The 20,522-nt window shown below is 40.5% G+C and overlaps 1 protein-coding gene across 22 annotated transcripts in view, besides 1 other annotated feature; it reads left to right on the plus strand.

Moving 5' to 3' along the window:
* Nucleotides 1-20,522, plus strand: part of DOCK3 (dedicator of cytokinesis 3) — a 709,272-nt gene that overhangs the window by 130,427 nt on the left and 558,323 nt on the right. Inside the window, exon 2 of one of the 22 annotated variants that reach the window (XM_047447605.1) lies at nucleotides 10,693-10,831. The exons of the other annotated variants lie outside the window; for them this stretch is intronic. The gene's annotated coding sequence lies outside the window, so the exon portion shown is untranslated. The remainder of the gene's footprint in view (nucleotides 1-10,692; nucleotides 10,832-20,522) is intronic. 22 annotated transcript variants of the gene reach the window in all.
* Nucleotides 12,397-12,976: an enhancer, noted in NCBI's record as "OCT4-NANOG-H3K27ac-H3K4me1 hESC enhancer chr3:50855181-50855760 (GRCh37/hg19 assembly coordinates)". NCBI's record gives its function as "activates a minimal SCP1, AML or CMV promoter by ChIP-STARR-seq in naive H9 embryonic stem cells {active_cell/tissue: H9 hESC(naive)}" and the evidence as "EXISTENCE:reporter gene assay evidence [ECO:0000049][PMID:30033119]".

Here is a 20,522-nt window from a genome sequence, read left to right on the forward strand (position 1 = left end):
TCTGGGTGGGGACATGTGTGTGCACACAGTAGATCAGCCAACTTGGGGTATGGTCAGCTGGGGTTGGGGCCATGAGCCATTCCTCTGGCTTTGAACATAGGTATACAGTTGCTTGGCTGGTCGGTGGACATACCTTCCAGGAATGGCTTGTGGGGCTGTTTCTTAGGCCCAGGATGCAGGCACACCGCTGCTTAGCTGACCTGGGGACATGTCTGCCAGGGTCGGCCTGCAGGGCCATTTCTCAGGCTCTGGATGTGGACACAAGACTTCTTGACTGACCTGTGGGCTTGTCTATCAGGTGCAGCCCACAGGGCCTGTTTCTCCAGCTTAGGATACAAGGCTACTCATCTGATCTGGATTTTGCCCACCATGGACAGCCCATGGAGCTATTTCTTTGGCCTCGTATGTGGGTGAGTGGCTGCTCAGCTTTCCTGGGTGCATGTCTGCTGGAGGTGGTTTACTGGGTTTCTCTGGCTTATGTTGTGGATGTGCACCTGCTTGGCTGGCCTGGGTCTGGGTCTGTCATTGGCAACCTGTAGGGCTGTTTCTGAGGCCTGGTATGTGCAAGGCTGCTTGCCTGGCCTGGGGGAATATGTCAGGAGCTGGGGGGCAGACTTAGAGCTGTTTCTCAAGCCTGTGACATGGCTGCAGCTGCTCAGCTGGCCTGGGGGTGCTTCTGTAGAGGGTGGCCCACAGGGCTGTTTCATAGACCTGAGATGCAGACACAGGATTGCTTAGTTGGCCTGGGAGCATGCCTGCTAGAAGTGGCCCATAGGGCTGTTTCTTGAGGCTGGGATGTGGAAATACAACTGCCCAGCAGGCCTGGGGGTGTGGTGTGTCTGCCAGGGGTGGCTCATGAGGCTGTTTCTCAGGTCTGGGATGCAGGTGTAAGGCTGCTCAGTCAGCTCAGGGGTGTGCTTACTGGGTGTGGCTTGCAGGGCTATTTTCACATCCAAGAGTTGAGCTCTTTGCTGCCTGGCTGACCTGGGGGCACACCTGTGAGGGCGGCCTGTGGGACTTTTCTCAAGTCCTTATTGGGAGCATAGGACCTTTGGGTAGGCCAGGGGCATGTCTGTGTTGGGTGGGAATGCTGTGGCCATGTAGCCAGGCCACTGGCCCCAGGGAATATTGGCTCCTTGTAGGCTCAGGGACCTCTTCTGCTTGGGGGAGGGTGGGTAAGGACATGGCTGGCTCTCAAGGGCATGTTCACCCTGGGTGGGAATGGAAGACTGTTCTTCTGGCTGAAAGTGTAGCAGCGGGGGTTGGTTTCCCTGCTGTGCAGGACTGGAGTCACAGGCAATCTTGAGCCCAAGCTTTGTGCATCTGGGGTTATGGCATTTAGCCATCTGTGGGTGCTTGGCATAATGAAGATGGAGCCCCATTGGTGGAGAAGTGCAGTGGCTACTGTACCCAAGAGGAGGGAGCATTCCAGAGGTGGCTCTAGTCTCAAGATGGTGTCTTGCTGCAATAGCTTGGCTCACAAGGGGTGGGTTAGCACACGTTGTGTTCCCAACCTGGAGCAGTGCAGTTGCATGAATTTCTGGTGGCTTTCCAAACTGGACTCAGGGGGTGTAAGGACTGTAGGCCTTTGCAGTGGTGGTAGGGGATGGTGGGGATCTTCTGCTTACTTTTCCCTTACAATGGGAAGTCCCTCCTGTCTCTGGGCCCCAGTCTGATCTGGTTTGGCGAGACGGTGCTGCAGAGGTCAGATGCCTTTACACTGCATTCTTCGGAATCCAGTCACCACAGATGCATCTCCACTCCTCTGTGGCATTCCACTTTTCTTTCTTCAACACTTCAGTCAAATCTTAGCTATTTATTTTTTACCTTTGTTGGTTCTTGTGGAGGAGACAAGCACCAGGTGTTTCTAGTCAGCCATCTTGCTCTGCCACGCTCTTTTTTTTTTTTTTTTTTTTTTTGGAGACAGGATCTTGTTCTGTCACCCAGGCCAGAGTGCAGTGGTACAATTATAGCTCACTGCAACTTTGAACTCCTGGGCTCAATCTTTTAACAACCAGCTATCCCAGGAACTAACAGAGTGAGAACTCACTCACCTTCCCTCTCCTGAAGGGCGTTAATCTCTTCATAAGAGAACAGCCCTCATGACCCAGACACCTCCCATTGTGGCCCACTTCCAACATCGGGGATCAAATTTCAGCATGATGTGTGGGAGTACAAATATTCAAACTACAGCACCTGCTATCACCACATCTGTTGAACATAGTATTATAAGTACTAGCTAGTATATACAGTAAGGTAGGAAACATACAGAATGGAAAGGAAAAGTTGAAATAATCATATGTATTTGATATGATTTTATGTGTAAAATGTGCAGTAGAATCTGTAGAAAATATTGAGAATAACTAAGGGAATTTGATGGCTACAGTGTCAGTATTGTGTTGATTGATCGATAGATACAAAGTCTTGCTCTGTTGCCCAGGCCGGAGTGCAGTGACACAATCACAGCTCACTGTAGCCTTGGCCTTCTCGTGTTCAAGCAATCCTTTCACCTCAGCCTCCTGAGTAACTGGGACTACAGGTGTGCACCACCATGTCTAGGTAATTTTTAATTACTTTTATAGAGATAGGATTTCGCCATGTTGCCCAGGCTGGTCTCAAGCAGTCCTCCCACCTCAGTCTCCCAGAGTGCTGGGATTACAAGCATGAGCCACTGCACCTAGTCATAATGTCAGTATTTTAAAAACACATTTTTTCTCTATGTTTGCAAAGAAGAATTAGAAAATGAATAAAACAATGCTATTTATAGTAGTATCAAATGTATCAAATGCTAAGGAATGAAATCTAATAAAAATACAAGACATTCATGTTGAAAACTATAAAAATCTTGATAAAAATTAAGATCTAAACAAATGGAAAGATTTACTATGTTTATGAATTGAAAGACTATCATAAAGATGCCAGTTCTCTCCAAGTTAATCTAATGATTTAATGCAATCCTGATAAAAATCCAGCAGGCTTTTTTTGGGTATGGAAATTGAACAGCTGATTATGACATTCATATGAAAATGCAAAAGGTTACAAAGAATATGATAATCTTGAAGATTATCTCAACTAGAGGACTTATGGTACCAGATATCAAGATTTATTATACATTAAGACTGTGATTTGGGGTAAAAGACTACTGAAACAGAATAGAGGGGCCAGAAATAGACCCTGGAGAGCCACACCTATGGGCTAACTCTGGCTCACTCATGTGTTTCCAAAAGTTTCTTTGCCAATCAGCAGGTTGTTACTAGAAACCAGCTCCAACCCAAGTGCTCTGGGAAGTTGTGCCATCACCAGCAGGCTCCATGTTCTTGTGGAAGCCATTCTCTTTCCCACAGATTCTGGATCTTACCCTTGAAGGGAAAGGGGTTCTTTTAAGTTCTTAGTTTCTTGCTTGTCCACTCCGTGGAGATATATCATCCACTGATGTATGAGAGAAGTGACATTGTAGTGCAGTGGAGAAATGATGCTCTTTACAATAAGTGATGCTATGCCAATTGAAATTGAAAATGATGGCCTATCCAGTAAATGATACTGGACCAATACCGAAAGCAATGAATATTGATTCCTGCCTCACAGAATATACTCCAAACTCAATTCCAAGTAGATGGTAGAACTGAATGTGAAATGTAAAAATAATTCACCTTGAAGAAAGCATAGGAAACTATTCTTGACATTGGTGTATACAAAGATCTTTTATAAAGATACAAAAAGCACTAACTATAAAGGAAAAGATTGGTAAGTTATACTTTATTAGAATGAAAATTTTCTTGTTCAAAAGATCGTTAAGTAGAGGGAAAAAGAAGTCACGATGAGTTATTTTACGAAAGGCTTGTATTCAGAGCATGTAAAGAATGATTACAAGTCAAAAATTAAAAGATAATCTAATAGAAGAGCAGGCAAAAGGCTTGAGTAGGCTCCTCAAAAAACACATATCCTAGTGGCTCAAAAACATATGGAAAGGTGCTTAATCTCAGTCATCAGGGAAATGCACGTTTAAACTGTAGTGAGCTACCACCAGATGGCCACTAGAATGTCTAAGAATTAAAACACGATACCAAGTGCTAGTGAGAATGTCGATCGGTTGTTACTCCCAGACATTACTGATGGTGGGGAAAATGTTATTAGCACTTTGGAATACTCTTTGGCACTATATACTATAGCTGAATATACACATACCTTATAATTTAACAATTCTACTCATAAATATGAACCCAACAGCAAAATACCTATAAAAATGTTAGTATCAGCTTTGTTCATAATAGTCTCAAACTGGAAAAAATGAAAATGTTCATCAGCAGTAGAATGGGCAAATATGTGGTATATTCATACAACTGAATGTGATATAGAAAGGAAAATGAGTTAGTTATTGCTACATACAATACGATGACCCATCACAGACATATTATTGAAAAAAGAAGCCAGATATGAGAATTAGTGTTATTATGATTTTGTGTACAAAAAGGACAGAATCAGGCAAAACTGAATCAGGTGATATTTGTCAGAGTAGTGGTTATTGGCTGGGATCTCAGCACTTTGGGAGGTCGAGGCAGGAGAATCACTTGAGGCCAGGAGTTTGAGAACAACCTGGGTAACATAGCGAGATCTTGTCTCTACAAAAAATTTAAAAATTAGCATGGTGGTGTGTGCCTGTAGTCTTAGCTACTCAGGTGGGTAAGGTGAGAGGATTGCTTGAGCCCAGGAGTTCCAGGCTGCAGTGAGCTATGATTGTGCCACTACACTTTAGCGTGGGCGACAGAGGGAGAACCTGTCTCAAAAAAATCTTTTTAAGGGTGTGTGTGTTGATGACTGGAGGAGGTACAAGTGGGTTTTAGGATGCTGCTACTGTTTTTATTTATCTAAGTGGTGGGCAGACAGGTATGTATACTCTTTAAAAATTTATTTAGCTGGCGGGGTGCGGTGGCTTATGCCTGTAATCCTAGCACTTTGGGAGACCGAGGCGGGCGGATCACTTGAGGTCAGGAGTTTGAGACCAGCCTGGCCAACATGGTGAAACCCTGTCTCTACTAAAAACACAAAAATTAGCTGGGCGTTGTGATGGGCACCTGTAATCCCGGCTACTTGGGAGGCTAGGGCAGGAGAATCACTTAAAACCTGGGTTGCAGTGAGCCGGTATTGCACCACTGCACTCCAGCCTGGGCAACAGAGCGACACTCCGTCTGAAAAAAATTTTTTTTTAAATTTAGCCGTACACTAATGATTTGCACACTTACGGATGTTACATATTAATAAAAAGTTTATTTAAAAAAGTAAAACAACTTTGTAAAAAAGTTGATAAAAGTATAAAACTAAACAATATGGAAGAATCTGAAAAATATATTAAATAAAAGAGCCCAAATAGAATTTTACAGTCCATATTGATTCCATTTATATGAAGTTCAAGAATAAGTAACACTACAAATCTGTGGTGATAGAAACCAGAACAGTAGTTGCTTACTGGAAAGGATTGACTGGAAAGAAGTATGAGGAAACTTTCAGGGTGATTAAAAAGTTCTATATCTGGATGAAATATGGGTTTCATGGTTATTACATTTGTCAAAGCTCATTGTACTGTATGTTCATGATCTGTATTTTTTACTATATGTAAATTATGCATCAGTGAACTGGATGAAAGGTTTAAAAATAAAAAATCTAGTCACAGATAAAAACATTTTTGCAGTGATACAACAAAGATAAGCAATCAGAATATAAAAGATCTCTTACAAACCAAGAAGAATAAATAATAGGTGAGGACCAGGTATGGTGGCTCATGCTTGTAATCCTCAGTGGAGGCTGAGGTAGGAGGATCACTTGAGGCCAGGAGTTCAAGACCAGCCTAATCAACAAGTGAGAGACCCTGTCTCTATAAAAAAGAGAAGAGAGAAAAGAAAAAAATTAGGTGGGTGTGGTGGTGCATGCCTGTAGTTCTGGCTACTCAGGAGGCTGAGGCAGGAGGATCACTTGAGCCCAGGAGGTCAGGGCTGCAGTGAGCTATGATTGTACCACTGCACTCCAGCCTGTGTGACAGAATGAGAACCTGTTAGGAAGGAAAGAAGGAAGGGAAGGAGGGAGGGAGAGAATAAAAGAAAAAAGAAAAGAAAGAAAAAGAGTCATTCATGGAATAGCAAGTTAAAATCAGAATGATAAATGATTTTATACATATCAGTTTGAGAAAACTGAAATGTCTCACATATTCAGATATTGGCACAGATATGTTTCCATTGGAATGCTTACATGCTGGTTGCATCTTGTGAAGTTAGATGTGCATATCCTATGACCTAGCCATTTAATTCTTAAGTATATACCTTAGAGAAATGTTTTTCAAGCTGTCTTCATCAAATCATTAGGGGGTTATTACAGTTATATTTAGTGGCTCACTTATCTGCATGAATAAAAAAGAATAGAATAAGAAATATCTAAATATATTGTTATAACAGTTATGATCCAATCAAGAGAGAGAAATCACACTAATTGGAATAGAGAATATTTAATATAAATAATTGTTAACTAGTAAAAAAGTAGTTAACTGCTAAAAGGGCTAAAATAAGACTCAAAGGGATAGCAAATGCAGAAATCAACTGCTACCTGTAGGGCTGAGAGAGGGTGGACAAGCAAGAAACTAAGAACTTAACTCCTATCCCTTCTAGCCTAAGATTCAGAATTTATGGGAAAGAGCATGGATGCCATAGGAACGTGTAGCCTGCTGGTGGCGGTGAAACTTGCCAGAGGGCATGCGTTGGAGCTGGTCTATAGGAGCAACCTGTTGGATGGTAGAAAAACTTGTGGAAAGGCATGAATGAGTCGAGCAGATTCATAGGTGTGGCTCTCCAGGTGGTAGAGAAACTTGCCAGAGAATAAGGGCCATAGCTAGTCTGTGAAGGTGGCTAAGATAAGCACTACTGGGCCTCCAACGTGCAAGTCCACTGAGTAGAGTGCTCACAATAAAACAATAGCACACCAGATCCCTTCAGCACCCTCTCTTAAAGCCCAACTCCCATGAGCTGGCAAAAGAAAGATGTTTATAGGGTTGTATTAGTCTCTTTTCAAGAGAAGCGTTTTGTGTGTGTGTACTCTGGAATATTTGTTTCTATGGAAAACCCAGACTAATACATCTATATATAAAAATAAAAGATATTATGGAGACTGAGAAGTCCCAAGATGTGCAGTCAGCAAGCTATAGACCCAGGAGAGCTTGCGGTATAAGTTCCAGTCCAAGCCCAAAGGGCAGAAGACCAGTGTTCCAGCTCAAAGAGAATCAGGCAGGCAGAGCAAATTCTCTCTTACTCTGCCTTTTTGTTCTATTCAGGCTTTCAAAAGATCAGATGTGGGCCACTCACAATGGGGCGGGCCGTCTGCTTTATTCAGTCTACTGATTCCAGTGTTAATCTCATCCAGAAACACCCTCACAGACACATCCAGAATAGTGTTTAATCAAATATCTGGGCATCCTGTGGCCCCAGTCAAGTTGACACATAATAGTAACCATCACAGGCCCCAACTCAGGTATTACTAACCAGGGCAAAGAAAGGTGAGTTTAGTTTTGAGGGGCAATAAATTGGTAACTGGCGCAATTGCATGTAGCATCATTAAGTGTTTTTTCTTCATGAGATTTGTTTCAATTTTATGTGTATGGGGTTATGATCTAAAGCATATTTCTAAGTCTGAGCCATGGTAAGAAAAAAATATACAAAAGCCATTGATCTGGAGAAACTTCTACACATGTACACATGAAGACATCCACAGAATTGTTTGTAGTAGCAAAAAATTGGTAATGTCTTAAATGTCTACCAACAAGACATAGTTGGAGAACTACAGATGCTCCTTGACTTAACAATGGAGTTATGTCCCAGTAAACTCATGATAAATTGAAAATATCATTAAGTAAAAAGTGCATTTAAGTGTTGTGGCTCACACCTGTAATCCTAGCACTTTGGCACACTGAGGCGAGAGAGAATCACTTGAGGCTAGGAGTTTGAGACCAGCCTGGGCAACATAGTGAGACCCTGTTTCTACAAAAACAAGAATTAGGTGTGGTGGAGCATGTCTGTAGTCCCAGCTACTCAACAGGCTGAGATAGGAGGATTGCTTGAACCCAGAAGTTTGAGGGTGCAGTGAGCTGTGATCATCACTGCCTCCAGCCTGGGTGACAGAGTGAGACCTTGTCTTAAAAAGAAAGAAAGAAAAAAGAAAATGCATTTAATACCTCAATAAATATATTTTAAAGTTGAAAATCATTAAGTTGAACCACCTTAAGTTCAGATGCTTCTTGACTTATGATGGGGTTATGTCTTGATAAACCCATCATGAAGTTGAAAAATTTTAAGTAAAACCTGCTTAAGTCAGGGACCATCTGTGAATCATGGGATATATTTTACAATGAAATAGTATTCAAAAATGAAATGAATGAACTGTAGCTCACATATTAATACAAACAGACCTCATAAATGTAATAACATCAATCAAAAACCTAAGTATGCAGAATACTCACTATATGAATCTATTTCTATAAAGTGTAAAAACATGCAAAAGAATACTGTGTGTATGTATGATGGCTATACCTATGTAATAAAAGTAGAAATAAACAGTGCATAAGAATAGTAAATACTAAGTGCAATGTATCTGGGTAGGGGATACAAAATGTATGGGCACGGTTTCTTTTCTTAGTTGTGGAGTGGGTACCTGGCCTTATTATAATACTAATACTAATATAATACTAGTATTTTCTTTTCCAAATACTTCATGATAGATTTTAAAATAAAACTTTCTATTTTGGAATAATTTTAGACTTTTAGAAGAGTTATAAGATAGTATATAGTTCCTGAATATCCTTGTTCATTCAGCTTCCCTTAAATGTTATATTTTTCCATAACCATGATAAAATTATTAAAAGGAAGAAATTAATATTTGTAAATTATTATTATTATTAGGACAGGATGTAGCCCTGTCGCCCAGGCTGGAGTTCAGTGGAGCAATCTAAGCTCACTGCAACCTTTGCCTCCTAGGCTCAAGCCATCCTTCCACCTCAGACTCCTGAGTAGCCGGGACTACAGGCACACCCCACCATGCCAGACTAATTTTTTTTTTTTGGTAGAGACAGGGTTTCATCATGTTGTCCAGTTTTGTACGGAGCTCCTAGTGTCAAGTGATCTGCCTGCCTTGGCCTCCTAAAGTGTTGGGATTTACAGGCATGAGCCACCGCACCTGGCCTGGTACAATATTATGAACTTAACCATAGATTTTGGTTGAATTTGCTCACTAATGTTTCTTTTCTGTTCTATAATCCAGTCCAGGATGATAGATTTTTGAAGAGGCATTAAAACCGGACTATAAAATGCCTTTTCTCTTTCAGTTGTATTTATCTTAAAGAATTATATTTCAGAAGTCAAATTTTTTTAGTTTTTTGTTTCTGCTGGGATATACTTTCATATTTTAAAATAACATGCTTATATTTCTATTTCTTACTTTTTTTCATTCTTTTTTTTTTGAGATGGAGTCTCGCTCTGCCGCCAGGCTGGAGTGCAGTGGCACAATCTTGGCTCACTGCAACCTCCGCCTCCTGGGTTCAAGCAATTCCCCTGCCTCAGCCTCCCAAGTAGCTGGGACTACAGGTGTGCACTAGCATGCCCACCTACATTTTGTATTTTTAGTGGAGATGGGGTTTCACCATGTTGGCCAGGATGGTCTTGATCTCTTGACCTTGTGATCTGCCTTCCTTGGCCTCCCAAAGTGCTGGGATTACAGGTGTGAGCCACCGCGCCCAGCCTCATTTTATTTTTATAGATTCACTCTGCAGTATAAATCAAGACTTCTACTCTATTATTATTTCCTATTCCAAACATACTTCTTTCATTCTTCCAATATATTTACCTTTTTTGGTTAATTTAGTATTTGGCTTATATGTCATTATGATTAATTCATAGCTTATCTGTATAGCATATTATGATTATATCTTGCATTACTTTTTGTTTTCTTTGGAATTAATATTTGACTTATTTTTTCATTTACCTAGTTTTTCATGTACATATCAATTTCTCCCCAAATTCTTTGCTGGAAATGAAACTATTAGACCATACAAATGTTTGGGATTTTGGTTTTTGTACCTCACTTCATAATCATGAAATTGACCTTCGTCTCTTTTCATCTTGAACCCTCTCTACTTCCTAGGTCCTATTCTAAACTTTTTCTTGGTCAGTTTTCTAATTTTTATCCTCTGGGAAATCCTCTGGGAGTTTCCTAAGAGAAAAATGTCACGGAAGGCAATTTTTTTTTTTTTGAGTGTTTGAATGCCTGAAAAGATCTTTAGTTTGCTCTCATGCTTTATTGATAATTTCAGTGGGTATAGAATCCTAGGCTGGGAATTATTTGTCCTACATTTCAAGGCATTGCTTCAGTCAAAAGACAAAATTACAACGGATTTACTTACAGATCTCTTTGGCCTTTATTTGTGAGTCATGAATTGGGGTAGCCTTCATTCTACAAAATGGAATGAGAGCTCCAACTAGGCAGTAGCAGAATGTGCATTTTGTAAGGTCAGAACAGAGAAGTGGAAAAATAGAAAAAACACTTGACTGGTTAACATCAGCTTACTTTTTTGTAAGGGTTAAAGCAGAGAGGACTTTTATTAAACACTGACTCAGGTAGGCTGGAATCTTCTGTGTTCAGGAAAAACTGGTTTTTTTTTTTTAGATCTGTCTGCTTCATTGAAGTTTCAGTCTGAGTATGTGGCACTTAACATGAGTAACTTCATTTTGATTTGGTTGATCTGTTGGGGCCTAGTGCAGGAGCTCAGTCCAAAACAATGACCTTTCATAATTTCATCTAACAGGTATGTACTATTTTTCCCCTTATTATTTTTTGTGTTGAATACTCAGTCTGGAAACTAATGTTTTTCCATTCTCAGATTTTTTTTTCATTGTTTTTAGGATTATTTTCTCCCTTAATGTTTTTTTCTGTTCTTGTAACTCTTTTTTTTTTTTTTTTTTGAGACACTCTCACTCTGTCACCCAGGCTGGCGTGCAATGGTGTGATCTTGGCTCACTGCAGCCTCTGCCTCCCGGGTTCAAGTGATTCTCCCGCCTCAGCCTCCTGAGCAGCTGGGATTACAGGTGCCCACCACTACGCCAGCTAATTTTTGTATTTTTAGTGGAGACGGGGTTTTGCCATATTGTCCAGGCTGGTCTTGAACTCCTGACCTCAGGTGATCTGCCCGCCTTGGCCTCCCAAAGTGCTGGGATTACAGGTGTGAGCCACTGTGCCCGGCCTCTCTTAACTCCTGTTACTTGAATGGTGCCTCTCCTATCTAGGCTGAGTCTGTAATTGATCATTTTTTTCTAATCTTTTCTATGTCTTTATCTTTTTATTCTTTGTTCTGGTGTATATAGGTAATATCTCCCAAGCCTTCTATTGGATTTTTGTTTCTCTCTTATATTTTCATTTCTTTTCTTTCTTCTTTATTTCTTTTGAGATGGGATCTCACCCGTCACCCAGGCTGGAGTGCAGTGGCGTGATCACAGCTCACTGCAGCTGTTACAGGAAAGGGGTCCCAATCCAGACCCCAAGAGAGGATTCTTGGATCTTGTGCAAGAAAGAATTCAGGGTAAATCCATAGACTCGCCCTAAAGTGAAAGCAGGTTTATTAGGAAAGTAAAGGAATAAAAGAATGGCTACTCCATAGACTGAGCAGCCCAGAGAGCTGCTGGCATTTTTATGGTTATTTCTTGATGATATGCCAAACATGGGGTGGATTATTCATGCCTCCTCATTTTAGACCATATAGGGTAACTTCCTGATGTTGCCATGGCGTTTGTAAACTGTCATGGCACTGGTGAGAGTGTAGCAGTGAGGACAACCAAAAGTCACTCTCATGACCTGTATTTTGTGTTAACCTCCTATCTCGTCCTGTGACTTAGAATGCCTTAACCATCTGGGAAATGTAGCTCAGTAGGTTTTAGCCTTATTTTACCCAGCTCCTATTTAAGATGGAGTTGTTCTGGTTCATACGCCTCTGACACAGTCTCAACCTCCCAGGCTCAAGCCATTTGTCCTCCTCAGCCTCCTAAGTAGCTGGACAGCAGGCATTGAGCCACCATGCCAACTAATTAAATTTTTTTTTTTTTTATAGAGACAGAGGTCCCCCTGTGTTGCGCAGGCTAGTCTTGAACTCCTGGGGTCAAGTGATCCTCCCAGTGTGGCTTCCCAAAGTGCTGGGATTATAGGCGTTAGCCACTGCTCCTGACCATATTTTCATTTTCTAAGAGCATTTTCTCACTATCTAAACGTTATAACTTCTCGTTCTTGCTTCATGGATGTAAATCTACTTTTTCTCTTTGGGGCTATTTTTTTTTTCCCTTGCTGGATTCTTTTTCCTCTGAGTCTCCTTTTTCTCTCTTCCTCAACTCTTTCTGTTTTGACTTTTGTGCTTTGTGCTAAAGGCTTTGTTTAAATGGCTGCTGAGCCTTAGTTTTGCAAATTTGAGGCTGAGAAGAGGGCTTTATACTAGTACTTGATTAGCTACCTTGACATTTTCATTTCATTTGAAGTTTTTGCTTCAACCCCAGCCCAACTGCTACTATCCTTGTCTTTTTCTCTTTACCTAGTTATCTTGACTAATCCTTCAGTATTATGCATGGAGGTAGAAGCCTCTGCCGTTGTCCTGGCTGCCCAGTAGGAACAGGGGTTGGAATCTGTTTTCAGATTGGTGCCCATCCCTGATACTGAGCAAAACCTAGGTTCCTGAACCTTGAGCCTGCCTTGTCCAAATTCTCTAGGAGTAATTATTCTCTTTTCAGATTGGTGGTGGACACATGTTTAGCCCTACTTGCTGGGCAGAATAGAGGAAGAACCATAGAGTTCTGATTGTTTTTCTTCAACAGTTTCAACTAGTTCTTTTGTTTTCAGCCCCATACCGTACTCAGGCCTCCTGAATTGTCTGATGCCTTGAATTCCTAATATTTTCTGGGGTTTTGTAATGGGAATTGACTCTTGTTGACTTCTCTGCATGTGGGCTTAGATTTCAGTATTTGTCTTTTGGGTCTTACACTTCCAAATGTTTTAAGTGCTTCTTGTTTGCTGTCATCTAAATTATTTTGCCCTAGGCAGATGCCTGATGCCTACCACGTGTAAACCCTTGCTGGGCTGGCTCTGGTGATACAAAATGTTATAGTTCCTCTGTCTGCCTACAAGAAGTGCATGTCAGCTTGGGGTGACAGATATATGAAGACATATTTATATTTGAACATGTTAGGAAGAAGTCAGGTGCAGGGTATTATGGTTACTACACAGATGGTCTGAGCTGTTGGCTTCACTGGGACAGGAAGGGAGAGGGGAGAAGAGCAGAGAAGATTTTAGAAATTATTTGGTATTGAGCTGCCTTGAAAGAAAAGTTTACTATGTCTTAGAGGTTGAGGGTATTTAGAGTAGTTAGAAATTGTTTGTGGTGGCAGTCAGGTGTCCTCAGACCATTGCATGATGTTTGTTGTTTATTTAATGTCATTTTCCCTATCCCAATTAGTGTTAGAATCTGTTTCAAGAGCCAATTCAAGTAGGTATCTTGTCTTCATTACATCACCTCTAAGCCAGGATTCTTCTTAATATGCACTTCCTGGGCTCATAATTCTAAAGTATGTAAAACATTCTCTAGCTTAAATATTGAGATATTATTTGTTTTTTAAAAAAATGCTTTGTGCTGGAAGACTGGTGCCAGTGATCCAAACTGCATGAGTTTGTTGGTTTTTTCTCCGTATAGCTCCCTGAAGCCATCTTTTTCATGTCCTAGTTTAATCTAGAATTGAGTTTTGTATCATGCTTTGACTTTGGCACCTGCATGTACTTCTGCTATAGATTTTTTGCTTGATTCCAGCTTCCAGTTTACCTGGAGCATTTCCATTTTCCACCTCTTCTTTCTTGTTCTCTTAGTGTGATTTGACTTAGCTGCCTATTCCTGTGCTGCCTGTAGCACTAACATTGATGTTGGCTCTTCTGTAAGAACATTTCTACCATCAAGCTGGAGAGTATAAATCTGATTTTTTTCTGAATCATATTATAGATAGTTTCACACATATTTGATAGCAGATTTCTCTTTTAAAGTGTATTGAACACACTATTCCTTAGATTAGCCAAAGTTTTAAGAATAACAGAATCTAGGTGGGGCATGGTGGCTAACACCTTAATCCGAAAGAAGCCAGTCAAAGCTCACCAGAACCAGATGGCGACAAAAGCGACCTCTAGTTGTCCTCATTTCTCATTATACACTAATTATAATGCATTAGCATGTTAAACGACACTCCCACCAGTGCCATGACAGTTTATAAAGGCCATGGTGAGCCAGGCACAGTGGCTCATGCCTGTAATCCCAACAATTTGGGAAGCCAGGGCAGGTGGATAACTTGAGGTCAGGAGTTTGAGACCAGCCTGGCCAACATGGCGAAACCCCGTCTCTACTAAAAATACAAAACTTAGCCAGGCGTGGTGGTGCACACCTGTAATCCCAGCTACTCAGGAGGCTGAGGCAGGAGAATCGCTTGAGCCTGGGAGGTGGAGATTGCAGTGACCCGAGATCGCATCACTGCACTCTAACTTGGGCGAGAGAGCAAGACTCCGTCTCAAAATAAAAAACAACAACAACAAAAAATGCCATGGCAACATCTAGAAGTTACAGTATATGTCTGAAAGGGGGAGAAAGCCTCAGTTCAGGAACTCCCCACCCCTTTCCCAAAAAACTCATGAATAATCCACCCCTTGTTTAGCATATAATGAAGAAATAACCATAAGTTTACTCAGGCAGCCCATGCCGCTGCTCTGTCTGTAGAGTAACTGTTCTTTTATTCCTTTATTTTCTTAATAAACTTGCTTTCACTTTACTCTGTTGGCTCACTCTTAAATTCCTTCCTGCATGAAGCCAAGAACCCACATGGCCTCCCAGCTAAACCCCAATTTTGGGGTTTGCCCTGTGACAAGTAGGAGCGATCATGTATCATTTTTTATCAGTGGGGTCTTTGTGACCCTTACGTTGCAAAATCAGTCCTGCCAAATTGCTGTCTCACACTTATAAGTGAGAACATGTGTATTTAGTTTTCTGTTCCTGTGTTAATTTGTTTAGGATAATAGCCTCCAGCTGCATCCATGTTGCTACAAAGGACGTGATTTCATTCTTTTTTTATGGCTGCATAGTATTCCACGGATTATATGTTTCACATTTTCTTTATCCAATCCACCATTGATGGGAACCCAGGCTGTTTCCATGTCTTTGCTATTGTGAATAGTGCAGTGATAAACATGCAAGTACGTGTGTCTTTTTGGTAGAATGATTTGTTTTCTTTTGGAAATAGTAATGGGATTGCTGGGTCGAATGGTGGCTTTAAGTTCTTTGAGAAGTCACCAAACTGCTTCCCACAGGGGCAGAACCAATTTACATTCCCATCAAAAAGTGTATAAATGTTCCCCTTTCTCCACAGCCTTGCTGGCATCTTTTTTTTTTTTTTTTTTTAAGCTTTTAATAATAGCCATTCTGAGTGGTGTGAGATGGTATCTCATTGTGATTTTGGTGATGATGAGCATTTTTTCATGTTTGTTGGCTGCCTGTGTGTTGTCTTTTGAGAAGTGTCTGTTCATGTCCTTTGGCCATTTTTTAATGGGGTTATTTGTTTTTTGCTTAGTGATTTAAGTTCCTTATAGATTCTGGATATTAGTCCTTTGTCAGATGCATAGTTTGCAAATATTTTTTCCCATTCTGTATGTTGTCTGTTTACTTTGCTGATAGTTTTCTTTCTTTCTTTCTTTTTTCTTTTTTTTTTTTTTTTTTGCTGTGCAGAAGAAGCTCTTTAATTTAATTAGGTCCCACTTGTCAATTGTTTTTGTTGCAGTTGCTTTGGAGACTTAGCCACAGGTTGTTTTTGCCAAGGCCAATGCCGAGAAGGTATTTCCTAGGTTTTCTTCTAGGATTTTTTTTTCTTTTTTTTCTGAGACTGAGTCTCACTTTGTCGCCCAGGCTGGAGTGCAGTGGCGTGATCTCAGCTCACTGCAAGCTCCGCCTCCCGGGTTCACGCCATTCTCCTGCCTCAGCCTCCAGAGTAGCTGGGACTACAGGTGACCGCCACCACACCCGGCTAATTTTTTTGTATTTTTAGTAGAGACGGGGTTTCACCGTGTTAGCCAGGATGGTCTCGATCTCCTGACCTCGTGATCCGCCTGCCTCGGCCTCCCAAAGTGCTGGGATTACAGGCCTGAGCCACCGTGCCTGGCCGCCTTCTAAGATTTTTATAGTTTGAAGTCTTACATTTAAATCTTTAATATATCTTGAGTAAATGTTTATATATGGTGAAAGGTAAGCATCCAGCTTCATTCTTCTGCATATGGCTAGGCTAACCATTCCAGCACCATTTATTGAATAGGGAGTCCTTTCCCCATTGCTTGTTTTTGTCAGCCTTGTTGAAGGTCAGACAGTTGTAGCTGATCTTTATTCTGAGTTTTACAGCTTTATTTCTGAGTTTTCTATTCTGTTCCATTGATCTATGTGTCTGTTTTTGTACCAGTACCATGCTGTTTTGATTACTGTAGCCTAATAGTATGAAGTCAGATAATCAGGTGCTTCTGGCTTTGTTCTTTTTGCTTAGGATTGCTTTGCTATTTGGGCTCCTTTTTTTAATTCCATATGAATTTTAGAATTATTTTTTAAATTCTATGAACAATGACAGTAGTTTGATAGGAATAGTGTTGAATCTGTAGATCGCTTTGGGCAGTATGACCATTTTAACAATATTGATTCTTTCGGTTCCTGAGCATGGAATGTTTGTGCATTTATTTGTGTCATCTCTGATTTCTTTCAGCCGTATTTTGTAGTTCTCCTTGTAGAAATCTTTTACCTCCTTGGTTAGCTATATTCCTAGGTATTTTATTTTATTTTTTTGTGGCTATTGTAAGTGGGATTGTGTTCTTGAATTGACTCTCAGCCTGGATGTTATTGGTGTATAGAAATGCTGTTGATTTTTGTACATCGATTTTGTATCCTTAAACTTTGATAAATTGGTTATCAGTTCCAAGAGCCTTTTGACAGAGTCTAGGATTTTCTAGGTATAGAATTACATTGTCACAATGATATTGAGAAATTATACAATAAAGATTTAAGGAGATTTCTAGCTCGGATACTTTTTTTTTTTTAGAGTCAAGGTTTTGCTCTGTCACCCAGGCTGGAGGGCAGTGGTGCAATCATAGCTCACTGCAGCCTCAAACTTCTGGGCTCAAATGATCCTCCCATTTCAGTCTCCTGAATAGCTAGGACTACAGGCATGTGCCACCATGCCCAGCTAATTTTTAAATTTTTTTCATAGAGTCTTGCTGTGTTGCCCAGGCTGGTACCATACTCCTGGGCTCAAGTGATCCCACCTGCCTCGGCCTCCTAAAATGCTGGGATTATAGGCATGGGCCACTGTGCCTGGCCTTGGGTACCATTTTCATTAATCTCTACTTTACTTTGGTGGATAAATATTCCTGCCACTTACTAATGACACTTAACATTTCAAATTTTAATGAGATTATATGGAGAATTGACATTTTCATCTTTTCGGTAAGAAAAAAGGCTTCTTGTAGCTATAAAGACTTCATTTCTGTTAGCTCTGGGAACTGATTTGTGTTTGAATATTGTCACAGAATTTGAAATCAGAATACTTAGTATACATTTGTAAAATATAGTTCTAAATACTTAACACTATTACTTTTAAATGCCTTTGACAGATTTTTCATTATACTTGCAACTTAAGTTAATTTTTAAAAGTAAATTGGAATTTTATTTTTATTTTATTTATTTATTTATTTATTTTTTTTTATTGATCATTCTTGGGTGTTTCTTGCAGAGGGGGATTTGGCAGGGTCACAGGACAATAGTGGAGGGAAGGTCAGCAGATAAACAAGTAAACAAAGGTCTCTGGTTTTCCTAGGCAGAGGACCCTGCGGCCTTCCGGCCTTCCACAGTGTTTGTGTCCCTGAGTACTTGAGATTAGGGAGTGGTGATGACTCTTAACGAGCATGCTGTCTTCAAGCATCTGTTTAACAAAGCACATCTTGCACCGCCCTTAATCCATTCAACCCTGAGTGGACACAGCACATGTTTCAGAGAGCACAGGGTTGGGGGTAAGGTCACAGATCAACAGGATCCCAAGGCAGAAGAATTTTTCTTAGTACAGAACAAAATGAAAAGTCTCCCATGTCTACCTCTTTCTACACAGACACGGCAACCATCCTATTTCTCAATCTTTTCCCACCTTTCCCCCCTTGCTATTCCACAAAACCGCCATTGTCATCCTGGCCCATTCTCAATGAGCTGTTGGGTACACCTCCCAGACGGGGTGGTGGCCGGGCAGAGGGGCTCCTCACTTCCCAGTAGGGGCGGCTGGGCAGAGGCGCCCCTCACCTCCCAGACGGGGCGGCTGGCCGGGCCGGGGGGCTGACTCCCCCACCTCCCTCCCAGTAAATTGGAATTTTATAATAGTTACTATTTGCTCATTAACCACCATGTCCTAGGTACCAGAAGTAGATATTATACATTCATTATTTTAACTAATCTCACAGTAGTCTTGTGAAATATTACTACCTCCATTTTTTAGTTGAGGAAGCTAAACTTAAAGTGGCTGAATAGAACACAGGTTATATGTGACAGAATGTGTGTTCAGACTCTGTTGATCTGCCTTGAGTATTAAGCTATTTGGAACTCACTGAGTGACTAAGTTTAGAAAGACCACTGAGAGTCTAGACCAGTATATTTTGAGAGCCATTTACAAATTCTGTTGGGTTGTATGGGGCTTGCTCTTTACTCTACTAGGCTACTTTAATAAGTGAATAAATGAATGCAACATATTTCTGAGGTTTTCTATTTTTGAAGACATGAGCAATAGAGGTAACTTTTAACTATAGTTCTCTGGTCACCTGGAAAGCGTTTCATTCATGGGGAATTATATAAGAGTTTGCTAAATTAGTAATAGACTGTGGGCTATTGGAAAAAGAAGCCTCAGGGTTTGAAGGTTTGTATTGATATGTTTTTGCCTACTCCTGGGTCTTGAAGATAGCCTGTGGTAGGCAAAGGAGGGTTGTAATTTGTTTTGTGATTTTGTTTACATATTTGAAACCAAATTTTTTAGGGGGTCAAAATGATGTAGATAACTTAAGTCTCTCATGGCCTTTGATGAGTGGCCCACAGGCAACTCAAACTGGTATGTATCTTTTCCTTGTGTTCCCAAGTCTTGCCTGTTCACTGCCATTTCCTAGTGTACCTTTTTCTGGATATATTATTGGCTTTGTAGAGATGATAATGGACCAGGGTCTATTTCTAGCTCTGTTTTAGATGATTTATGACAGTGAGCATGACTTTCTGATGCCTTAAGTTATCCTCTGCAACATAGCTATTTTTTCATGTAAATTTTAGGTAGATGAATGGACTAATAACCTTTGAGCTACGACTAGGAAGATCATATCTGTGCCATGGTTGGTGTTCATTCCAATTTTTCTCTTACATTTATTTCAGTGCTACTGTTAGGACTCAAAAAAGAACATGTATCTTTGTATTAATCTTTAATCCTTCTTGCAATTTTGTTTAATATTAAATATCATAAATTAGCAAACAGTTTAAAAGCACATGTTAACAGCATGTACATCTAGATGAATGTTGTACCTACAACAGGCACTTGGGCAGATTATATAATTATTTTAATAATATTGGGCTTTTATAAAAAATATTTGGAATTTCCCTCAGAGTAAGCTTACAAACTGTCAAAGGATAAAAATTTGCTACCACGTTGAAAATAACATTTGGAAGTTTTGGGATTACAATGGAGTATTGAATATCTGCATTTAATTTTGCTTCTCTCTGAAACACTACAAAAAAGAAGATACAGAGATTATAAAATGTCATATACCCATAAGGACAAGGAAATTGGCAAGGCATTGAAAGAGTGGAAACTGTCGCTTAGTAGAGCTGAGACAGCCGAATCCCAAGGTGGTAGCAGGAATAGCTGAGAACTAACCTTGTTTACACAACATATCCTCAAAAGGCATAATGACTTTTAGCACCAGATACCTTTGGAACTGAGGATGAATATATTTTTAAGTGGTTCTCCTTTACTTCATCTCATTTGATGGCCACTCTTGTCTCCTCCTGGTAGAAGTTTTGAGGTTTGTTTTCAATGGGGGGTTAAAATAGAGCATCTCTGGATTGGGAGATTTCATGCACAGTTGAGGAAAAGGGTTCCATATTAAAACTGGGTGGGGGGCAGTTAAGTGACAGTATGCCTACTGAGTATTGAAGACTGACAGCCTTCATCCTGTACTTGGCTCTCAAAATCCTGGCAGCCAGTCCTTTCCCCTTTCAAGTAGGAGACTAGAAGACTTTTGTGTGGGCAATCCATGACAAGGGGAAGGCCTTAAAGATGCTAACTGTGCCAGTTGTTTATTGCCTCTGAGTTCCAGACCCACCCTTACAACCCCTTGTTATGATGCTGAAGTTGGACTTGCAAACTATATTTTTTCTTTGT

This window comes from Homo sapiens, chromosome 3 (assembly GCF_000001405.40).
Source record: "Homo sapiens chromosome 3, GRCh38.p14 Primary Assembly".
NCBI lineage: Eukaryota > Metazoa > Chordata > Mammalia > Primates > Hominidae > Homo > Homo sapiens.